The following is a 16,512-nucleotide window of genomic DNA, read 5'->3' as shown; positions in this document are numbered from 1 at the left end:
TAATTACAGTTCTACCATCTAACTATAATACAGTAATTTGATGTACAGCCCATATTCAGATTTACCTAATTGTCTCCAAAATGTTCTTTATTTTTGTTTTAGATCCACAGTTTAATCAAAGATTAACCTTGCCTTTGGTTGTCACGTCTCTCTATTCTTTTACTTTGGAGTAGTTCTTTCAATACATGAAACATTTTGAAAAATCTAGGCTCTTTGTTTTGTAGAGTGACCCATAATCTAGATATATCTGGTTGCTTTTTTCTTCTCCTGACTAGAATAGATTGAGCATTTTGGCAAGAATACAGATTAAACAGTGTTCTCATGAGTGGATCCAGATTAAACAGGGAATAATGCCTAATTCAGATTAGGCAGTGTTGTGTACTTACCGCCTCACACCAGGAGATGTTTGCGTCTGTTTGTCCCACGATTGCTGATGCTATGTTTAATAATTTTGGTTGAGATAGTGTCAACTGGACATCTCCTTGTGAGGGTAGCTTTTCCCTTTTGTTATTAGTCATCTGTGGGATGAGACATCAAAGCACTGTGAACATCTTAGTCCCTGGCAACCTTCACGAGCTGGTTTCAGCATCATTGCCGAAGCCTCTTGGAAACATTGATTACACCCGTGGTTCCAATGGTGATTTTTCTCATTCCTTTTACATTGATTACCTGCCTCCTTGAGTAAGGTAGATGTTGTCTACTCCCCATGTTTTCCCTTCAAAATGTTTAATTTTAATTTAAATGATTAATACAGCTAAGTTATTCTTTCAACAGGCAAATGAAAACAGTAGCCTAAAGTGTCAGTTTCAACCCGAAAATAACAGCTCTGATTTCTCATGGCTCACACTCGTCTGAAATGACTCGGGTAGAGGCTGAGGAAGGCTGTGTTGTTTGTCTACCTGGGACTAGTAAGTATAGAAATAGAATTCCTTTGTTCTTAAATTCTACCTTTGACTTTACTTTTAAAATATAATTTCTTTGGTACGATTTAGCTCATGCCTGTAATCCTAGCATTTTGGGAGGCCAAAGAGGGAGAATTGCTTGAGCCCAGAAGTTTGAGACCAGACTCTACACACACACACACACACACACACACACACACACACTAAGCGGGAATGGTGGCATGCTACTGTGGCCTCAGCTACCTGGGAGGCTGAGGTTGGAGGATCATTTGGACCCAGGAGGTGGAGGCTGCAGTGAACCATGATTGTGCCACTGTACTCCAGCCTGGGTGACAGAGCAAGACCCTGTCTCACAAAAGAAAAAGAAGAGATCATCTATTAGTCCTCTTGATTTTTGTTAAAATGTGTTATGTGATAGTTGATAAGCTTTATGCATATGTCAATCTGTGGCCATTTAATTTTGGGCTAAGGACTTGTTCTATTATAGCACAGTAATCATTTTACTAAATAGTGACTATTTGTCATTAAAAACAATATATTTAGTTTTAATACAGTTGAATACTCACAAATTTCTGGGGGAACTTGGTCAGGACATTTCAACTGAGAATTGTCAGGCACCTTCTCGCTGATAGGCATGCTGCTCGGTGGTGCAGCTCATAAGCAGACAACCCCCTTCATGTAATTTAGTAGGAAAATGACAGAAATACTTGTGTAACTATAAAGTAAAGCAGAATTCTGGTTATTGAATCACAGCACCTACTGAAAGAAGTTCTCAAGTTCTGATTGAGTTCTAAAATTCTTTTGAAGATTGGAATTCTTCATATGTAAGTAAAAACAATTTCTGATGACCCATTTCTAGTCCATCTCCTAAAGAAGTATTTAATCTGGGCCATGCATGGTGGCTCACGCCTGTCATCCCAGCACTTTGGGAGGCTGGGGTGGGTGGATCATGAGGTCAAGAGATCAAGACCATCCTGGCCAACATGGTGAAACCCCATCTCTACTAAAAACACGAAAATTAGCTGAGCATGGTGGCACGTGCCTGTAGTCCCAGCTACTCGGGAGGCTGAGGCAGGAGAATCACTTGAACCTGGGAGGTGGGGGCTACAGTGAGCTAAGATTGCGCCACTGCACTCCAGCCTGGCAACAGAGCAAGACTCCATCTGAAAAAAAAAAAAAAAGTATTTAATCTAAGCTGGGCATGATGGCTCACTCCTGTAATCCCAGCACTTTTAGAGGCCAAGGTATGAGGGTTACTATAAACCAGGAGTTTGACACCAGCCTAGGCAACAATAGCAAGACCCCGTTTCTACAAAAAAAAATTTAAAAATTAGCTGCGCAGGAGGCTGAGTTGGGAGGATCACTTGAGCTTAGGAGTTAGAGGTTGTAGAAAGCTATGATCATACCACTGCACTCCAGGCTGGATGACAGTGGGCCCTGTCTCTAAAACACAAAAAAAACTAACAAAAAAAGTGTTTAATCCATAAGATGACCACATTTATAGGAGGCTCCCAGCAATCTTAGCCTGAAGCCATGAAGGAAGACGCAGTGTGAAGGCAAGTACAGGCTGGCCTCTGGCAGCTGAGGATCAGGACAGGATGTGGAGTGAACCTCCACATCAAAGCTTTATTGCTTGGATTGGAAAAAAAATTCCTATCTGTAGGTCAGCCTTAAAATACACCATTTCATAAAATATTGTCTTTCCCATATTTTGAGCCCATGCAATTTGTGCTACCTGAGGGAACAGTATTGTGTCCTTGATTTGGTGAGATCAGTAGCTTTCTTATCTTATTGAGTGACAGCTACAGAACTCAGAAACAGAAGCTGCATATTAAGCAAATTTACATCTTTCTTGTTATAATATTATTGTGTATAAGAAATAGAGATGGCCGGGTGCGGTGGCTCACGCCTGTAATCTCAGCACTTTGGGAGGCTGAGGCAGACGGATCACAAGGTCAGGAGTTTGAGACCAGCCTGGCCAACATGGTGAAACCCTGTCTCTACTAAAAATACAAAAGGCAATAAGAGGTTCTATGTGGACTTTGAAGGTCGTCTCTATCAATTTGAGGTTGGGAAGAACAGTTTTGTTGACATCCTTTAGCTGTGTTACAAGTACAATTTTGTTTTTTACTCAGGCAAAAGAAAATGTGTGTGTGTGTTAAATACAGTCAGCCCTCTTTATCTGTGGGTCCTGCATCCTTGCTTTCTACCAACCTCAGATCAAAAATATTCCAGAAAAAAAAGGATGGTTGCATCTGTACTGAATATGTACAAGCTTTTTTTCTTGTCATTCTTTATGCAATAAAGTATAACAACCATTTACGTTGCATTTCCATTGTATTAGGTATTGTGGGTAATCTAGAGATGATTTGAAGGATATTGGAGGGTGTGTCCAGGCTGCAGGCAAGTACTATGGCATTTTATGTCAGGGACACCTACAGATTTTTGTCTCCAGCCATGGTTCCTGTATAGTTTAACATTTCCACACGCTGAGGGTGTGATGGGTCTGAGTTGGGTTGGTCCCCCATGTTTGAGGAAGTGTGCCCATCATGATTGTACACCCTTGTTGTAAACTTCGGATATGTCTATTTTGATATTTAAAACATTTTCAGGTTAAGTCTGAAAAATGCCAAGATAGTAACAATATTTTAAAAGGGAATTCAGAAGTATTACTATAATAATAGAACTCATTATTAGAACATTCTAATAGTAGAAAAGGAAGTCTATTTATTTTATAAAATTGTCAGTTCAGCTTAAGATCTAATAGTCTTTTCCAATTAGCATCAACTTAATTGAGACTACCTCAAAAGAAGAATTTAACACTTATTTTTGTAGAAAAAAAGCAATTTTAAAATAGCCTGGGAAAACTTAGGTAAGTTTTCCTTAATCCTGACTCCTAATTTGTGGCTAGAAGTGGCAATGATATGAACATAAGTTGTGCTATTTGTTAATATATTGCTTTTCATAAATCAATCCCTTTTTTGTAATTAGGTAAAAAGAGAAGAGAAAGACATTCTTGATTTTGGTGACTAGAGTTGTAGATGCTGGAAGCTTTGCCACTAACATTGATGAACCAGATGCATGTCACCAGCCCATCACGGTGATTCTTAATGCCGTTAAGTATGAACATACAGTAAAATACTGTTGATAGAATACATCGGTCTTATGAAATGTTTTGGTTAAGGATTTTTTAAACGAATTTCACATTACACAACTGGCTTTACTAAATCTGAGTCTTGTATTTCTGAACAGGGCACCATGGGCCGGCACTGCCACGTTTTCCAAGGAACCTGCCAGAGCTCCTGCGGAAGCTGCTCCTCGGGCGATGGAGTCCCTTTGCTGCTAGGCCCTTCTTCAGTCACCACAGGATGCCTGCCATTCATGAACAGGAAGGAGAGGACGGGCTTTGAATAAAAAACAGGTAAGTTTCCAAACTGCTTTTTTTCATCAAGATTTCAATCTTGGCTGGGCAAAGTGGCTCACGCCTGTAATCTCAGCATTTTGGGAGGCCAAGGCAGGCAGATCATGAGGTCAGGAGATAGAGACCATCCTGGCCAACATCATCTCCTCAGCACCCAGCTCAGTCATTTAGACAAAGAAAATATGTAAGATGACCGAGCACGGTTGCTCACGCCTGTAATCCCAGCACTTTGGGAGGCTGAGGTGGGCGGATCACGAGGTCAGGAGATCGAGACCGTCCTGGCTAACACGGTGAAACCCCATCTCTACTAAAAATACAAAAAAAAAAAAATTAGCTGGGCATGGTGGCAGGCACCTCTAGTCCCAGCTACTCGGGAGGCTGAGGCAGGAGAATGACGTGAAGCCAGGAGGCGGAGCTTGCAGTGAGCTGAGATCGTGCTACTGCACTCCAGCCTAGGCAACAGAGCGAGACTCCTCAAAAAAAAAAAAAAGAAAAGAAAGAAAAAGAAAACACGTAAGAAACAGTTGCCAAAATAATTGAATACAGGATCTTCAACTGAGATTATTTTCTTTGTTAGGATCCAGGAAATATTTGTGAGGCCATTTGGACTTCAGTGTGAAATGGTGTTAAAAGATGAAGTCATTTATTCAAGAAGTAAACCTCTGCCACCTGGACTGTGCTCAGACATTTCATTGATTTTGTTTAATAAACATTTTCTGGCTTTGGGAGGTGTCTCTCTTGGTAGAGCACAGTGTCAAAGATGGACAAGATGGACACATAGTCCATTATTTGGTATTGTTTGTGTATGGGAGCGGACCACAAATTAATGTTTGGAGAACAATTTTGTCATAACACACTGTTGAGGCTCAGTTGTACAGAACTGGAAAAGTCTTTCAGCTTGGCACATGTCCTGATTCAGCCTTTGTTTAACATACATTCCAATCCGGATTCTATCTTCACTGGCTACAAAGACCACCTGATACGTGCACCACGACACAGGAGCTGCTGGAGAGGGGGTAGTGTTATCACCTCAAACCCACAGCCATATTTTTCAAAAGCCAGCTTAGAGAGAGGTGTACTGATAGCTGCATAGAGAACATGCAGTCCATCCATTCTTCCCAGTGATGTACATTTCTCAATCAGTAACCACGTGGTATACCAGCCTTGAGTGTCACATCTCCCAACCATACCAAATGGATCACCTAACTGGAGGTGGGGGGGGCCCCTCAGAAATGAGATTTCGTATTTACTGTAAAATTGCCTTATTTTTTCTTTTGAGGTGGAGTCTCACTCTGTTGCCTGGGCTGGAGTGCAATGGTGTGATCACTGCTCACTGCAACCTCCGCCTCCTGGGTTCAAGCAGTTCTCCTGCCTCAGCCTCCCAAGTAGCTGCAATTACAGGCGCATGCCACCACTCCCAGCAAATTTTTATATTTTTAGTGGAGACAGGGTTTCACCATGTTGGCCAGGCTGGTCTCAAACTCCTGACCTCAGGTGATCTGCCCACCTTGGCCTCCCAAAGTTCTGGGATTAAAGGTACGAGCCACCGCAACTGGCTGAGAATCTTTTTATTTGCTGATTTGTCTCTTGTGTATTTTCTTTGTTCAGATGTCTCTTCAGATCTTTTTCTCACTTTTAAATTGTTTTTTTAATTGTTAAGAATTTTCTGTCTAGTTTAGATATAAGCCCTTTATCAGACATGTGTTTTGCAAATATTTTCTCCTAGTCTGTGGCTTGTATTCTGTCTCTTAACAGTCATTTTATTTTTACTTTTGAAACTAAAGAAGAAGAATGGTCAGCTTTCCGTTATTCTTGTAACAGTAATGGCAGAACCAAGTCTGCTAATGCTACATTGAGCAAAGAAAGTCACCTGGTCAAGTCCAACATTAATGAAATGGGGTAGTACATGCAGGCGGCGTTGGGGTTGGGGAGGGAACAAATGCTTCTTGAGAGTAATATAATCTGCCATACCATCCAGGAACCTACAATGGCTATCTATTACCTTATTCTCTGGTTTGTTTAATGTTCAAATCTTTCCTAAAGATCCTTCAACTTTTCTGGAAGAATCTAATCTGATAACACCATCAAAAACACATTACTTCTTTTGGCATAATTTAAATTGTAAGACATCATTCACATTTATCAATGTTACATATATAAGAACTCACCCACCATATTCCTCCTTGAGGAATTACAGCATGTAATTCTATAACCATTTTTATAATCGTCTAACAATTTTATAATGGATTGGCTGCTATCAATTTTTTAAAAGTCATGGCTTCTCCAGTCATTTCTTGCTTATCAAAATTATTTCATGAGATGGGTCTATCCTTGTATATTTGAAAATGAGGTTTGCTTCCTTCTACTTAAAAAACAACTTGAACATACCTGTTTGGATCACATGGTCTTGTCCTGATAACTTGGAAGAGGTTGCTTCAGCATTATTCTTATTGTTGTGGTGGTTATTATTAACATTGTTTCATATTCCGTTTAAAAAATTAAAATTTTACACAAGACCAATGTCTTCTTTTCAATTCCAGTACAGTCTTCAGAAGTAACTAATGCTATTGGCTTTGTGCATTATAATTTCAGACCATTGTATATGTCTTTAGTTATATGTACAGTATACACACATATGTGTCATATTATTCCATTTTTTCTAGCATTAAACATTGCTATGGAAAACTCTCAGAAAAATATTTATTTGAACAGAACTTTTTCTTTTCTCAGATGTACCCTCCTTAGGAATCTTTCTTTGATCCTTGAAGTTTGGTAACAACTTTAAATATGTGTATCCCAGCTGGGAGCAGTGGCTCACACCTGTAATTTCAGCACTTTGGGAGGCCGAGGAGGGTGGATCACCTGAGGTCAGGAGTTTGCCTGGCCAACATGGTGAAACCCCGTCTTTACTGAAAATACAAAAAGTTAGCCAGGTGTGGTGGCTGGCACCTGTAATCCCAGCTACATGGGAGGCTGAGGCAGGAGAATCGCTTGAACCTATAGAGACAAGGTTTCACCATGTTGACCAGGCTGGTCTCGAACTCCTGACCTCAGGTGATCCACCCACCTCAGCCTCCCAAAATGCTGGGATTACAGGCATGAGCCATTGCACCCAGCCATACAGGAGCAAGTTTAAAAATTAAATATTTATTTGAATAACAAGCTTACATTGGAGCTGCAATGTTGGCAATCCAGATTTTGAACACGGATCACAAAAAGCATGCATAAAATCCTACTGGCCCAGAGAACAAAACACTGCTCAGAATTAGGTGAAATAGCTGCTACTGTTAAGAAAACAGGCCTGAAATCAATATACAAGATTTTAAAAAATGTATTGGCCAGATGCAGTGGCTCATTCCTGTAATTCCAGCACTTTGGGAGGCCAAGATAGGAGAATCACCTGAGGTCAGGAGTTCAAGACCAGCCTGGCCAACATGGTGAAACTCCGTCTCTACTAAAAATAAAAAATTAGCTGGGTGTGGTGACACATGCCTGTAGTCCCAGCTACCTGGGAGGCTGAGGCAGAATAATTTCTCGAACCCAGGAGGAGAAGGTTGCAGTGAGCCGAGATCATGCTATTGCACTCCAGCCTGGGCTACAGGTGAGACTCCGTCTCAGGGAAAAAAAAAAAAAGGTATTAAACACTACCATATACAGAACAATCTTTGTTATTGACTATATTTAAAAATCATTTTGCACAGTTAATTATATATTGCAAATGAGCATAATACATGAACTTCATTTTGGAAGGCAATTCCTTGTTACACTAAAAAACATCTAATTTCAGCTGGGCGCGGTGGCTCATGCCTGTAATTCCAGCACTTTGGGAGGCCAAGATAGGCAGATCAACTGAGGTCAGGAGTTGGAGACCAGCCTGCCGAACATGGCGAAAACCTGTCACTATAAAAATTAGCCGGGCATGGTGGCAGGTGCCTGCAGTCCCAGCTCCTTAGCGAGGCTGAGGCAGGAGAATCGCTTGAACCCGGGAGGCAGAGGTGGCAGTGAGCTGAGATTGTGCCACCGCACTCTGGCCCGAGCAACAAGAGCAAAACTTGGTCAAAAAAAAAAAAAAACAAAAAAAAAACCCAGCCGGGCGCAGTGGCTGACGCCTGTAATCCCAGCACTTTGGGAGGCCGAGGCGGGTGAATCACGAGGTCAGGAGTTTGAGACTAGCCTGGCAAACATGGTGAAACCCCATCTCTTCTAAAAATACAAAAAATTAGCTGGGTGTAGTGGCGGGCGCCTGTAATCCCAGCTATTCGGGAGGCTGAGGCAGGAGAATCGCTTGAACCTGGAAGGTGGAGGTTGCAATGAGCCGAGATCGCGCCATTGCACTCCAGCCCTGGCAACAGAGTGAGACTTCATCTCGGAAAAAAAAAAAAAAAAATCCTAATTACATCACATTGCAAATATCTCGTTTTTCCTGTCAATAAATAGTTAATAGTATTACTGTAAATATCAGGAAGACTACAAAAAAAAAAAAAAAAAAAGATTCCTTTTTGTCTTCAAAGTGTTTTTTACGCAGTGAAGCAGTTACCGTGTTGAACAGAATGCAGTACTAGAAAATGTCCTGGGTGTGAGATGCTCTTGAGTGACAAAACTAGGCTTTTCTTTCTTTTTTTTTTTTTTTTTTTTTTTTTTTTTTTTTTTTTTTGAGACGGAGTCTCACTCTCTCACCAGGCTGGGGTGCAGTGGCGCAGTCTCGGCTCATTGCAACCTCTGCCCCCCGGGTTCAAGTGATTCTCCTGCCCCAGCCTCCCGAGTCGCTGGGACTACAGGCACCCACCACCACTCCCGTCTAATTTTTTTGTGTTTTTAGTAGAGACGGGGTTTTACCATGTTGGCCAGAATGGTCTCGATCTCTTGACTTTGTGATCCACCTGCCTGGGCTTCCCAAAGTGCTGGGATTACAGGCGTGAGCCACTGAGCCCGGTCCAAGACTAGGCTTTTCAAATCAAAGACAAAGGAATCATGCAACCCTCTTACAACTGGGATACCATCCTGTGCCACTTGCCAATACCGTCTTTCCAGAAAACCATTCAAGACACTAAAAAAAGATCAGACTTATATGATAAACATACATAAAATGAAAAGACACCAACTGCTATTTGACACTACTATTGGTAATGCCTGTCATATGTGAAAGCACTTTTATTTTATTTTTTATTTTGAGACTGAGTTTCGCTCTTGTTGCCCAGGCTGGAGTGCAATGGCACGATCTCTGCTCACCGCAACCTCCGCCTCCCGGGTTCAAGCGATTCTCCTACTTCAGCCTCCCGAGTAGCTGGGATTACAGGCATGTGCCACCACGCCTGGCTAATTTTCTGTATTTTTAGTAGAGACAGAGTTTCTCCATGTTGCTCAGGCTGGTCTCAAACTCACAACCTCCGGTGATCTGCCTGCCTCGGCCTCCCATAGTGCTGGGATTACAGGCATGAGCCACCATGCCTGCCCATGAAAAAGAGAGCACCTCTGCTGCCTGGTCATATTCTGTACCTGTTCCCAAACCCTGAAACCAGTGATGTCAATGGCTGCGTGGGCATTGAACGTGTACATGATTCCTGCAGCTTTCCTGTTGAGCCAGACCATGTTCATCAATGCTTTTTGGTACACTAATTCTACATCTTCTTGGGTGACCACAGTTTATGTTTATTTCATTTTTCAGGAATATCCAGCCACTGGTGCACAGCCATTGCCACTTGTGCCCCCAGGGGATCTTGTCAACTCCAGTATGTCCCCCCAGCACTGTGTTATCTGGCATAATAAATGTAGTTGGGCTGTAGTTGTAGTGACTCCTCCCAAAACAACCCAGGAGTTTAATACTGTTTGGCCACTGGTTACAGACATTGCTGCCCCTTCTGCTGCGGCTTTAAAAGCCTATCTAATCGGCTGGGTGTGGTGGCTCAGACCTATAATCCCAGCACTTTGGGAGTCCGAGGTGGGTGGATCACCTGAGGTCAGGAGTTTGAGACCAGCCTGGCCAACATGGTGAAACCCCATCTCTACTAAAAATACAGCAAATTAGCTGGGCGTGGTGGCGCATGACTGTAATCCCAGCTACTCGGGAGGCTGAGGTAGGAGAATTGCTTAGGTGGCAGAGTAAGACTCCGTCTCAAAAAAAAAAGTTATTTAATCAGGGACGTCACCTTTCCCTGCCAGTCATTTTGTTACAAATGAAAGAAAACATATTCAAATCAATTTTTAGTTCAGAAAATGTTTCTTTCATTGTATCTTTGAATTTTATTGTTCTGCATTTTTTACTTCAAAAACACCTACTATATGCATTTTTTCTCTCGTTTCCTTTTTTTTCCAAGAAATGTTTTTGTCCTTTTGATTTTTTCACTGACCATTACCATTATTTATATACCATGTACCTGGAGAGTTTCCAACGTTTCTCTTTGGTCTGAGAAGATACTTGCTATGATTTTCATTTTTTAAATGCTTTTTTGAGATTTGTTTTGTGGCCTAAAATGTGGTCTATCCTGGAGAATGTTCTGTGAGCTGATGAGAAGAATGCACATTCTGCAGTTGGTGGGTGAAATGTTCTGTAATTACCTGTGAGGTCCCTTTGACTTCTCTTGGAGTCAGTCTGGTCTTTGTTACTTTTCTGCCTAGAGGGTGTGTCTGTTGCTGAAAGTGGGTGTTGGAGTCCCCAGCTATTATTGTCTGTCTCTGTCTGTTGCTCGAATAACTCTTACTTTAATAACTGGGGCTCCTGTGTCAGGGTGTTTACATTGACAACTGTCCTACCTTCTTGCTGAATTGATCTCTTTATCGTTTTATAATGACCTTTATTTTCTATTTTTGTGCTTTTTTGACTTAAAGCCTACTTTGTGTGACAAGCACAGCTATACATACTCACTTTTGGTAACACCTTTCATTTCTTATCATCTTCATTGAATCTCACTTCTTCACATTTGCCAAAATGTCTACTTTTGAGCTGTGGCACCTCTTTGAATCTTCAGATCCACCACATGCTGATCAAGCCTTCCTTTTTGTCTGTACTCTGAGGAATCCCAAACAGGCATTTTTGCAAGAAAGTCTAGGAGGGAAACATAAATCTATGTGTCAGAAGAATTAACATAGAAAATAGTGTGTCCTGGTTAACAAAAGTTCTCATTGTAAAGTGTTATGCACAAGACTATGAAATTTCATGTGCCATAAATAAAATTGTCTTGATTTGTCTAAAACTACGTTTTGTCTAAAACTACTCTTAAAAATTACATGTTACTCTAATAAATGTATTTTTGGCTGGGCGCAGTGGCTCACGCCTGTAATCCCAGCACTTTGGGAGGCCGAGGCGGGTGGATCACGAGGTCAGGATATCGAGACCATCCTGGCTAACACGGTGAAACCCTGCCTCTACTAAAAATACAAAAAAAAAGTAGCCAGGCTTGGTGGCAGGTGCCTGTAGTCCCAGCTACTCAGGAGGCTGAGGCAGGAGAATGGCGTGGACCTGGGAGGTGGAGGTTGCAGTGAGCCGAGACTGCGCCACTGCACTCTAGCCTGGGCGACAGAGCAAGACTCTGTCTCAAAAACAACAACAACAACAAAAAAAACATATTTTTTCCAACTATATTCTTTCTTTTTTTCAAGATTATTTTGACTATATTGGGTTTGTTGTATTTCTACTGGGTCCACTTGTCTACAAAAAAGTCTTTTGACAGGGATTGTGTGGAATCTATAGATTAATTTGGGAAACACTGACATATTAACGTTAAGTCTTTCAATCCATGCATGCAAAATGTCTTTCTTAGGTCTTCTTTAGTTTCTTTGAAAAATGTTTTCTAGGCTGGGCGCGGTGGCTCACGCCTATAATCCCAGCACTTTGGGAGGCCGAGGCGGGCAGATCACGAGGTCAGGAGTTCAAGACCAGCCTGGCCAACATGGTGAAACCCCGTCTCCACTAAAAATACAAAAATTAGCTGGGCATGGTGGTGTGCACCTGTAATCTCACCTACTGGGGAGGCTGAGGCAGGAGAATGGCTTGAACCCAGGAAGCAGAGGTTGCAGTGAGCCGAGATCATGTCACTGCACTCCAGCCTGGGTGACAAGCAAGACTTCATCTCAAAAAAAAAAAAAAAAAAAAGAAAAAGAAAAAGAAAAATGTTTTCTAGTTTTCAGTGCACAAGTTTTACACTTCTTTTGTTAAATTTATTCCTAAGCATTTTATTATTTTTGATGCTATTGTAAATGGAATGTGTTAATCTATTCTTGCATTACTATAAATAAATACCTGAGACTGAGTAATTTATAAAGACAAGAGGTTTAATTGGCTCATGGTTCTGCAGTCTGTACAAGCAGCATAGCAGCTTCTGCTTCTGGGAAGGCCTCAGGAAGCTTCCAATCATGGCAGAAGGCAAAGGAGAAGTGAGGTATCTCACATGGTGAAACCAGAAGGAAGAGGGGGTGGGGGTGGGGGTGCCATATACTTTTGTTTGTTTGAGACGGAGTCTCACTCTGTCACTCTGGCTGGAGTATAGTGGCATGATCTTGGCTCACTGCAACCTCCGCCTGCCAGGTTCAAGTGATTCTCCCACCACAGCCTCCCGAGTAGATGAGATTATAAGCACATGCCACCATGCTCAGCTAATTTTTGTATTTTTAGTAGAGACAGGGTTTCACCATGTTGGCCAGGCTGGTTTTGAACTCCAGACCTCAAGTGATCCACCCACCTCGGCCTCCCAGAGTGCTGGGATTACAAATGTGAGCCACCGCACCCAGTCTATATAATTTTTTTTTTTTTTGAGATGGAGTCTCGCTCTGTCACCCAGGCTGGAGTGCGGTGGTGTGATCTTGGCTCACTGCACCCTCCACCTCCCGGGTTCAAGCAACTCTCGTGCCTCAGCCTCCCCAAGTAGCTGTGACTACAGGTGAGCGCCACCATGTCCAGCTGATTTTTTGTATTTTAGTAGAGATGGGGTTTCAGTGTGTTGCCCAGGCTGGTCTCGAACTCCGGAGCTCAGAAAATCCACCTGCCTCAGCCTCCCAAAGTGCTCAGAGGCATGAGCCGCTGCACCTGGCTGGGGCCTATATACTTTTAAACAACCCGATCTCATGAGATCTCACTCACTATCATGAGAACAGCACCACGGGGATAGTGCTAAACCATTCATGAGAAACTGCCTCCATGATCCAATCACCTCCCACCATGCCCGACCTCAAACAGAGAAACCGCCTCCATGGTCCAATCACCTCCCACCATGCCCGACCTCAAACAGAGAAACCGCCTCCATGGTCCAATCACCCCCCACCATGCCCGACCTCAAACAGAGAAACCGCCTCCATGGTCCAATCACCCCCCACCATGCCCGACCTCAAACAGAGAAACCGCCTCCATGGTCCAATCACCCCCCACCATGCCCGACCTCAAACAGAGAAACCGCCTCCATGGACCAATCACCTCCCACCATGCCCGACCTCAAACAGAGAAACCGCCTCCATGGTCCAATCACCTCCCACCATGCCCGACCTCAAACAGAGAAACCGCCTCCAGGGTCCAATCACCTCCCACCATGCCCTACCTCAAACAGAGAAACCGCCTCCAGGGTCCAATCACCTCCCACCATGCCCGACCTCAAACAGAGAAACCGCCTCCAGGGTCCAATCACCCCCCACCATGCCCGACCTCAAACAGAGAAACCGCCTCCAGGGTCCAATCACCCCCCACCATGCCCGACCTCAAACAGAGAAACCGCCTCCATGGTCCAATCACCCCCCACCATGCCCGACCTCAAACAGAGAAACCGCCTCCATGGTCCAATCACCCCCCACCATGCCCGACCTCAAACAGAGAAACCGCCTCCATGGTCCAATCACCTCCCACCATGCCCGACCTCAAACAGAGAAACCGCCTCCATGGTCCAATCACCTCCCACCATGCCCGACCTCAAACAGAGAAACCGCCTCCATGGTCCAATCACCCCCCACCATGCCCGACCTCAAACAGAGAAACCGCCTCCAGGGTCCAATCACCTCCCACCATGCCCGACCTCAAACAGAGAAACCGCCTCCATGGTCCAATCACCCCCCACCATGCCCGACCTCAAACAGAGAAACCGCCTCCAGGGTCCAATCACCCCCCACCATGCCCGACCTCAAACAGAGAAACCGCCTCCATGGTCCAATCACCCCCCACCATGCCCGACCTCAAACATTGAGGATTACAATTTGACAGTCCCCAATGTCAGGTCCTTTCCACATTTCATGCCTTCCCAACAGTCCCCTAAAGTCTTAACTCATTCCAGCATTAACTCAAAAGTCCAAAGTCCAAAGTCTCATCTGAGACAAGGCTAGTTCCTTCCACCTATAGGTCTGTAAAATCAAAAACAAGTTAGTTACTTCCAAGATACAATTGAGGTATAGGAATTAGGTAAATATTCCCATTCCAAAAGGGAGAAATCAACCAAAACAAAGGGGCTACAGGCCCCATGCAAGTCTGAAACCCAGCAGGGCAGTCATTAAATCCTAAAACTCCAAAATAATCTCCTTTGACTCCATGTCCCACATCCAGGGCAACTGATGGAAGGCGTGGACTCCCAAGGCCTTGGGCAACTCTGCCCCTGTGGCTTTGCAAGGCTCAGCCCCCGACACCACTCTCAAGGGCTGGTTTTGAGTACCTGCAGCTTTTCCAGGCACAGAGTGCAAGCTGCTGGTGGATCTACCATTCTGGGGTCTGGAAGATGGTGGATCTCTTCTCACAGCTCCACTAGGAAGTGTTCCAATGGGGACTCTGCGTGGGAAATCCAACTCCACATTTCCCCTCCTCACTGCCCTGGTAGAGGTTCTCCATGCTGCTGCATGGGGCAGAGCCTTCATGGAGGACCTCTACTAGGGCAGTGAGGCTTCTGCTTAGACATTCAGGCTTTTCTATACATCCTCTGAAATACAGGCAGAGTCTCCAAAGCCTCAACTCTTGCACTCTGAACTCACAGGCATATTACCACATGGAAGCCACCAAGGCTTATGGCTTGCACCCTCTGAAGCAGTGGCCTAAGCTGTACCTGGGCCTGTTTGAGCCATGGCTAGGCTGAGATGCAGGGAGCAGTGTCCCGAGGCTGCACAGGACAGCAGGAGCCCTAGGTCTGGCCCAGAAAACCATTCTTCCCTTCTAGGCCTCTGAGTCTGTGATGGGAGGGGCCATGGTGAAGGTCTCTGAAATGTCTTCTATGCTTTTCCCCCATTGTCTTGGCTATTAGCACTTGGCACCTTTTTACGTATGCAAATTTCTGCAGCCTGCTTGAATTCATCCCCTGAAAATGGCCTTTTCTTTCCAGGCTGCAAAATTTCCAAACTTTTACACTCTGCTTCCCCTTTAAATATAAGTTCCAACTTTAGGTCATTTCTTTGCTCATGCATATGAGTGTAGGTTGTTAGAAGCAACTGGGTCACATCTTGAATGCTGTGCTGCTTAGAAATTTCTTCCACCAGATAGCCTAAATCATCACTCTCAAGTTCAAAGTTCCACAGATCCCTATGGCAGGGGCACAACGCAGCTATGCACCCAGGTTCTTTGCTAAGGTATAACAAAAGTGACCTTTGGCCAGGCGCGGTGGCTCACGCTTGTAATCCCAGCACTGTGGGAGGCCGAGGCAGGTGGATCACGAGGTCAGGAGATCGAGACCATCCTGGCTAACACGGTGAAACCCCGTCTCTACTAAAAATACAAAAAAATTAGCCGGGCGTGATGGCGGGCGCCTGTAGTCCCAGCTACTCGGGAGGCTGAGGCAGGAGAATGGCGTGAACCCGGGAGGCGGAGCTTGCAGTGAGCCGAGATTGCGCCACTGCACTCCCGCCTGGGCCACAGAGCAAGACTCTGTCTCAAAAAAAAAAAAAAGTGACCTTTGCTCCAGTTCCCATCAAGTTCCTCATTTGCATTTGAGACCTCATCAGCCTGGCCTTCACTGTCCACATCACTACTGGCATTTTGATCTAACCATTCAACCAGTCTCTAAGAAGTTCCAAGCTTTCCCTCATCTTCCTGTCGTTTTCTGAGCCCTCCACATTCTTGCAACCTCTGCCTGTTACCCAGTTCCAAAGCTGCTTCCACATTTTCAGCTATCTTTACAGTAATGCCCCACTCCTTGGTACCAATTTTCTGTATTAGTCTGTTCTTGTATTGCTATAAAGAAATACCTCAGAGTAGGTAATTTTATTTATTTTTTAAAATTTATCTATTTATTTTTGAGA

The 16,512-nt window shown here is 43.9% G+C and overlaps 1 protein-coding gene and 1 long non-coding RNA gene across 31 annotated transcripts in view; one reads left to right on the top strand and one right to left on the bottom strand.

Annotated features, from left to right (window-relative positions):
* LOC107986489 (uncharacterized) overlaps positions 1-16,512 on the bottom strand; it is a 57,699-nt gene that overhangs the window by 12,007 nt on the left and 29,180 nt on the right. For 6 of the 7 annotated variants that reach the window (XR_001743020.2, XR_001743023.2, XR_001743022.2 and 3 more), the window contains exons 2-4: positions 11,186-11,365; positions 1,469-1,617; positions 387-518 (exon numbers count right to left, since the gene is read on the bottom strand). This is a non-coding gene — a long non-coding RNA (uncharacterized LOC107986489). The remainder of the gene's footprint in view (positions 1-386; positions 519-1,468; positions 1,618-11,185; positions 11,366-16,512) is intronic. The other variant, XR_001743024.2, reaches the window with a different exon arrangement.
* Positions 1-16,512, top strand: part of FAM153A (family with sequence similarity 153 member A) — an 89,179-nt gene that overhangs the window by 65,355 nt on the left and 7,312 nt on the right. For 19 of the 24 annotated variants that reach the window (NR_146226.2, NR_146227.2, XM_017009364.2 and 16 more), the window contains 5 exons: positions 775-908; positions 1,656-1,726; positions 3,894-4,017; positions 4,155-4,323; positions 4,901-7,022. The gene's annotated coding sequence lies outside the window, so the exon portion shown is untranslated. Of the gene's footprint in view, positions 1-774; positions 909-1,655; positions 1,727-3,893; positions 4,023-4,154; positions 4,324-4,900; positions 7,023-9,988; positions 10,106-16,512 lie in introns of those variants that run through there. The other 5 variants (XM_017009358.2, XM_017009357.2, XM_017009355.2 and 2 more) reach the window with 5 other exon arrangements.

This window comes from Homo sapiens, chromosome 5, assembly GCF_000001405.40.
Source record: "Homo sapiens chromosome 5, GRCh38.p14 Primary Assembly".
Taxonomy (NCBI): Eukaryota; Metazoa; Chordata; class Mammalia; order Primates; family Hominidae; genus Homo; species Homo sapiens.
This window is presented reverse-complemented; position numbering and strand designations above follow the sequence as displayed.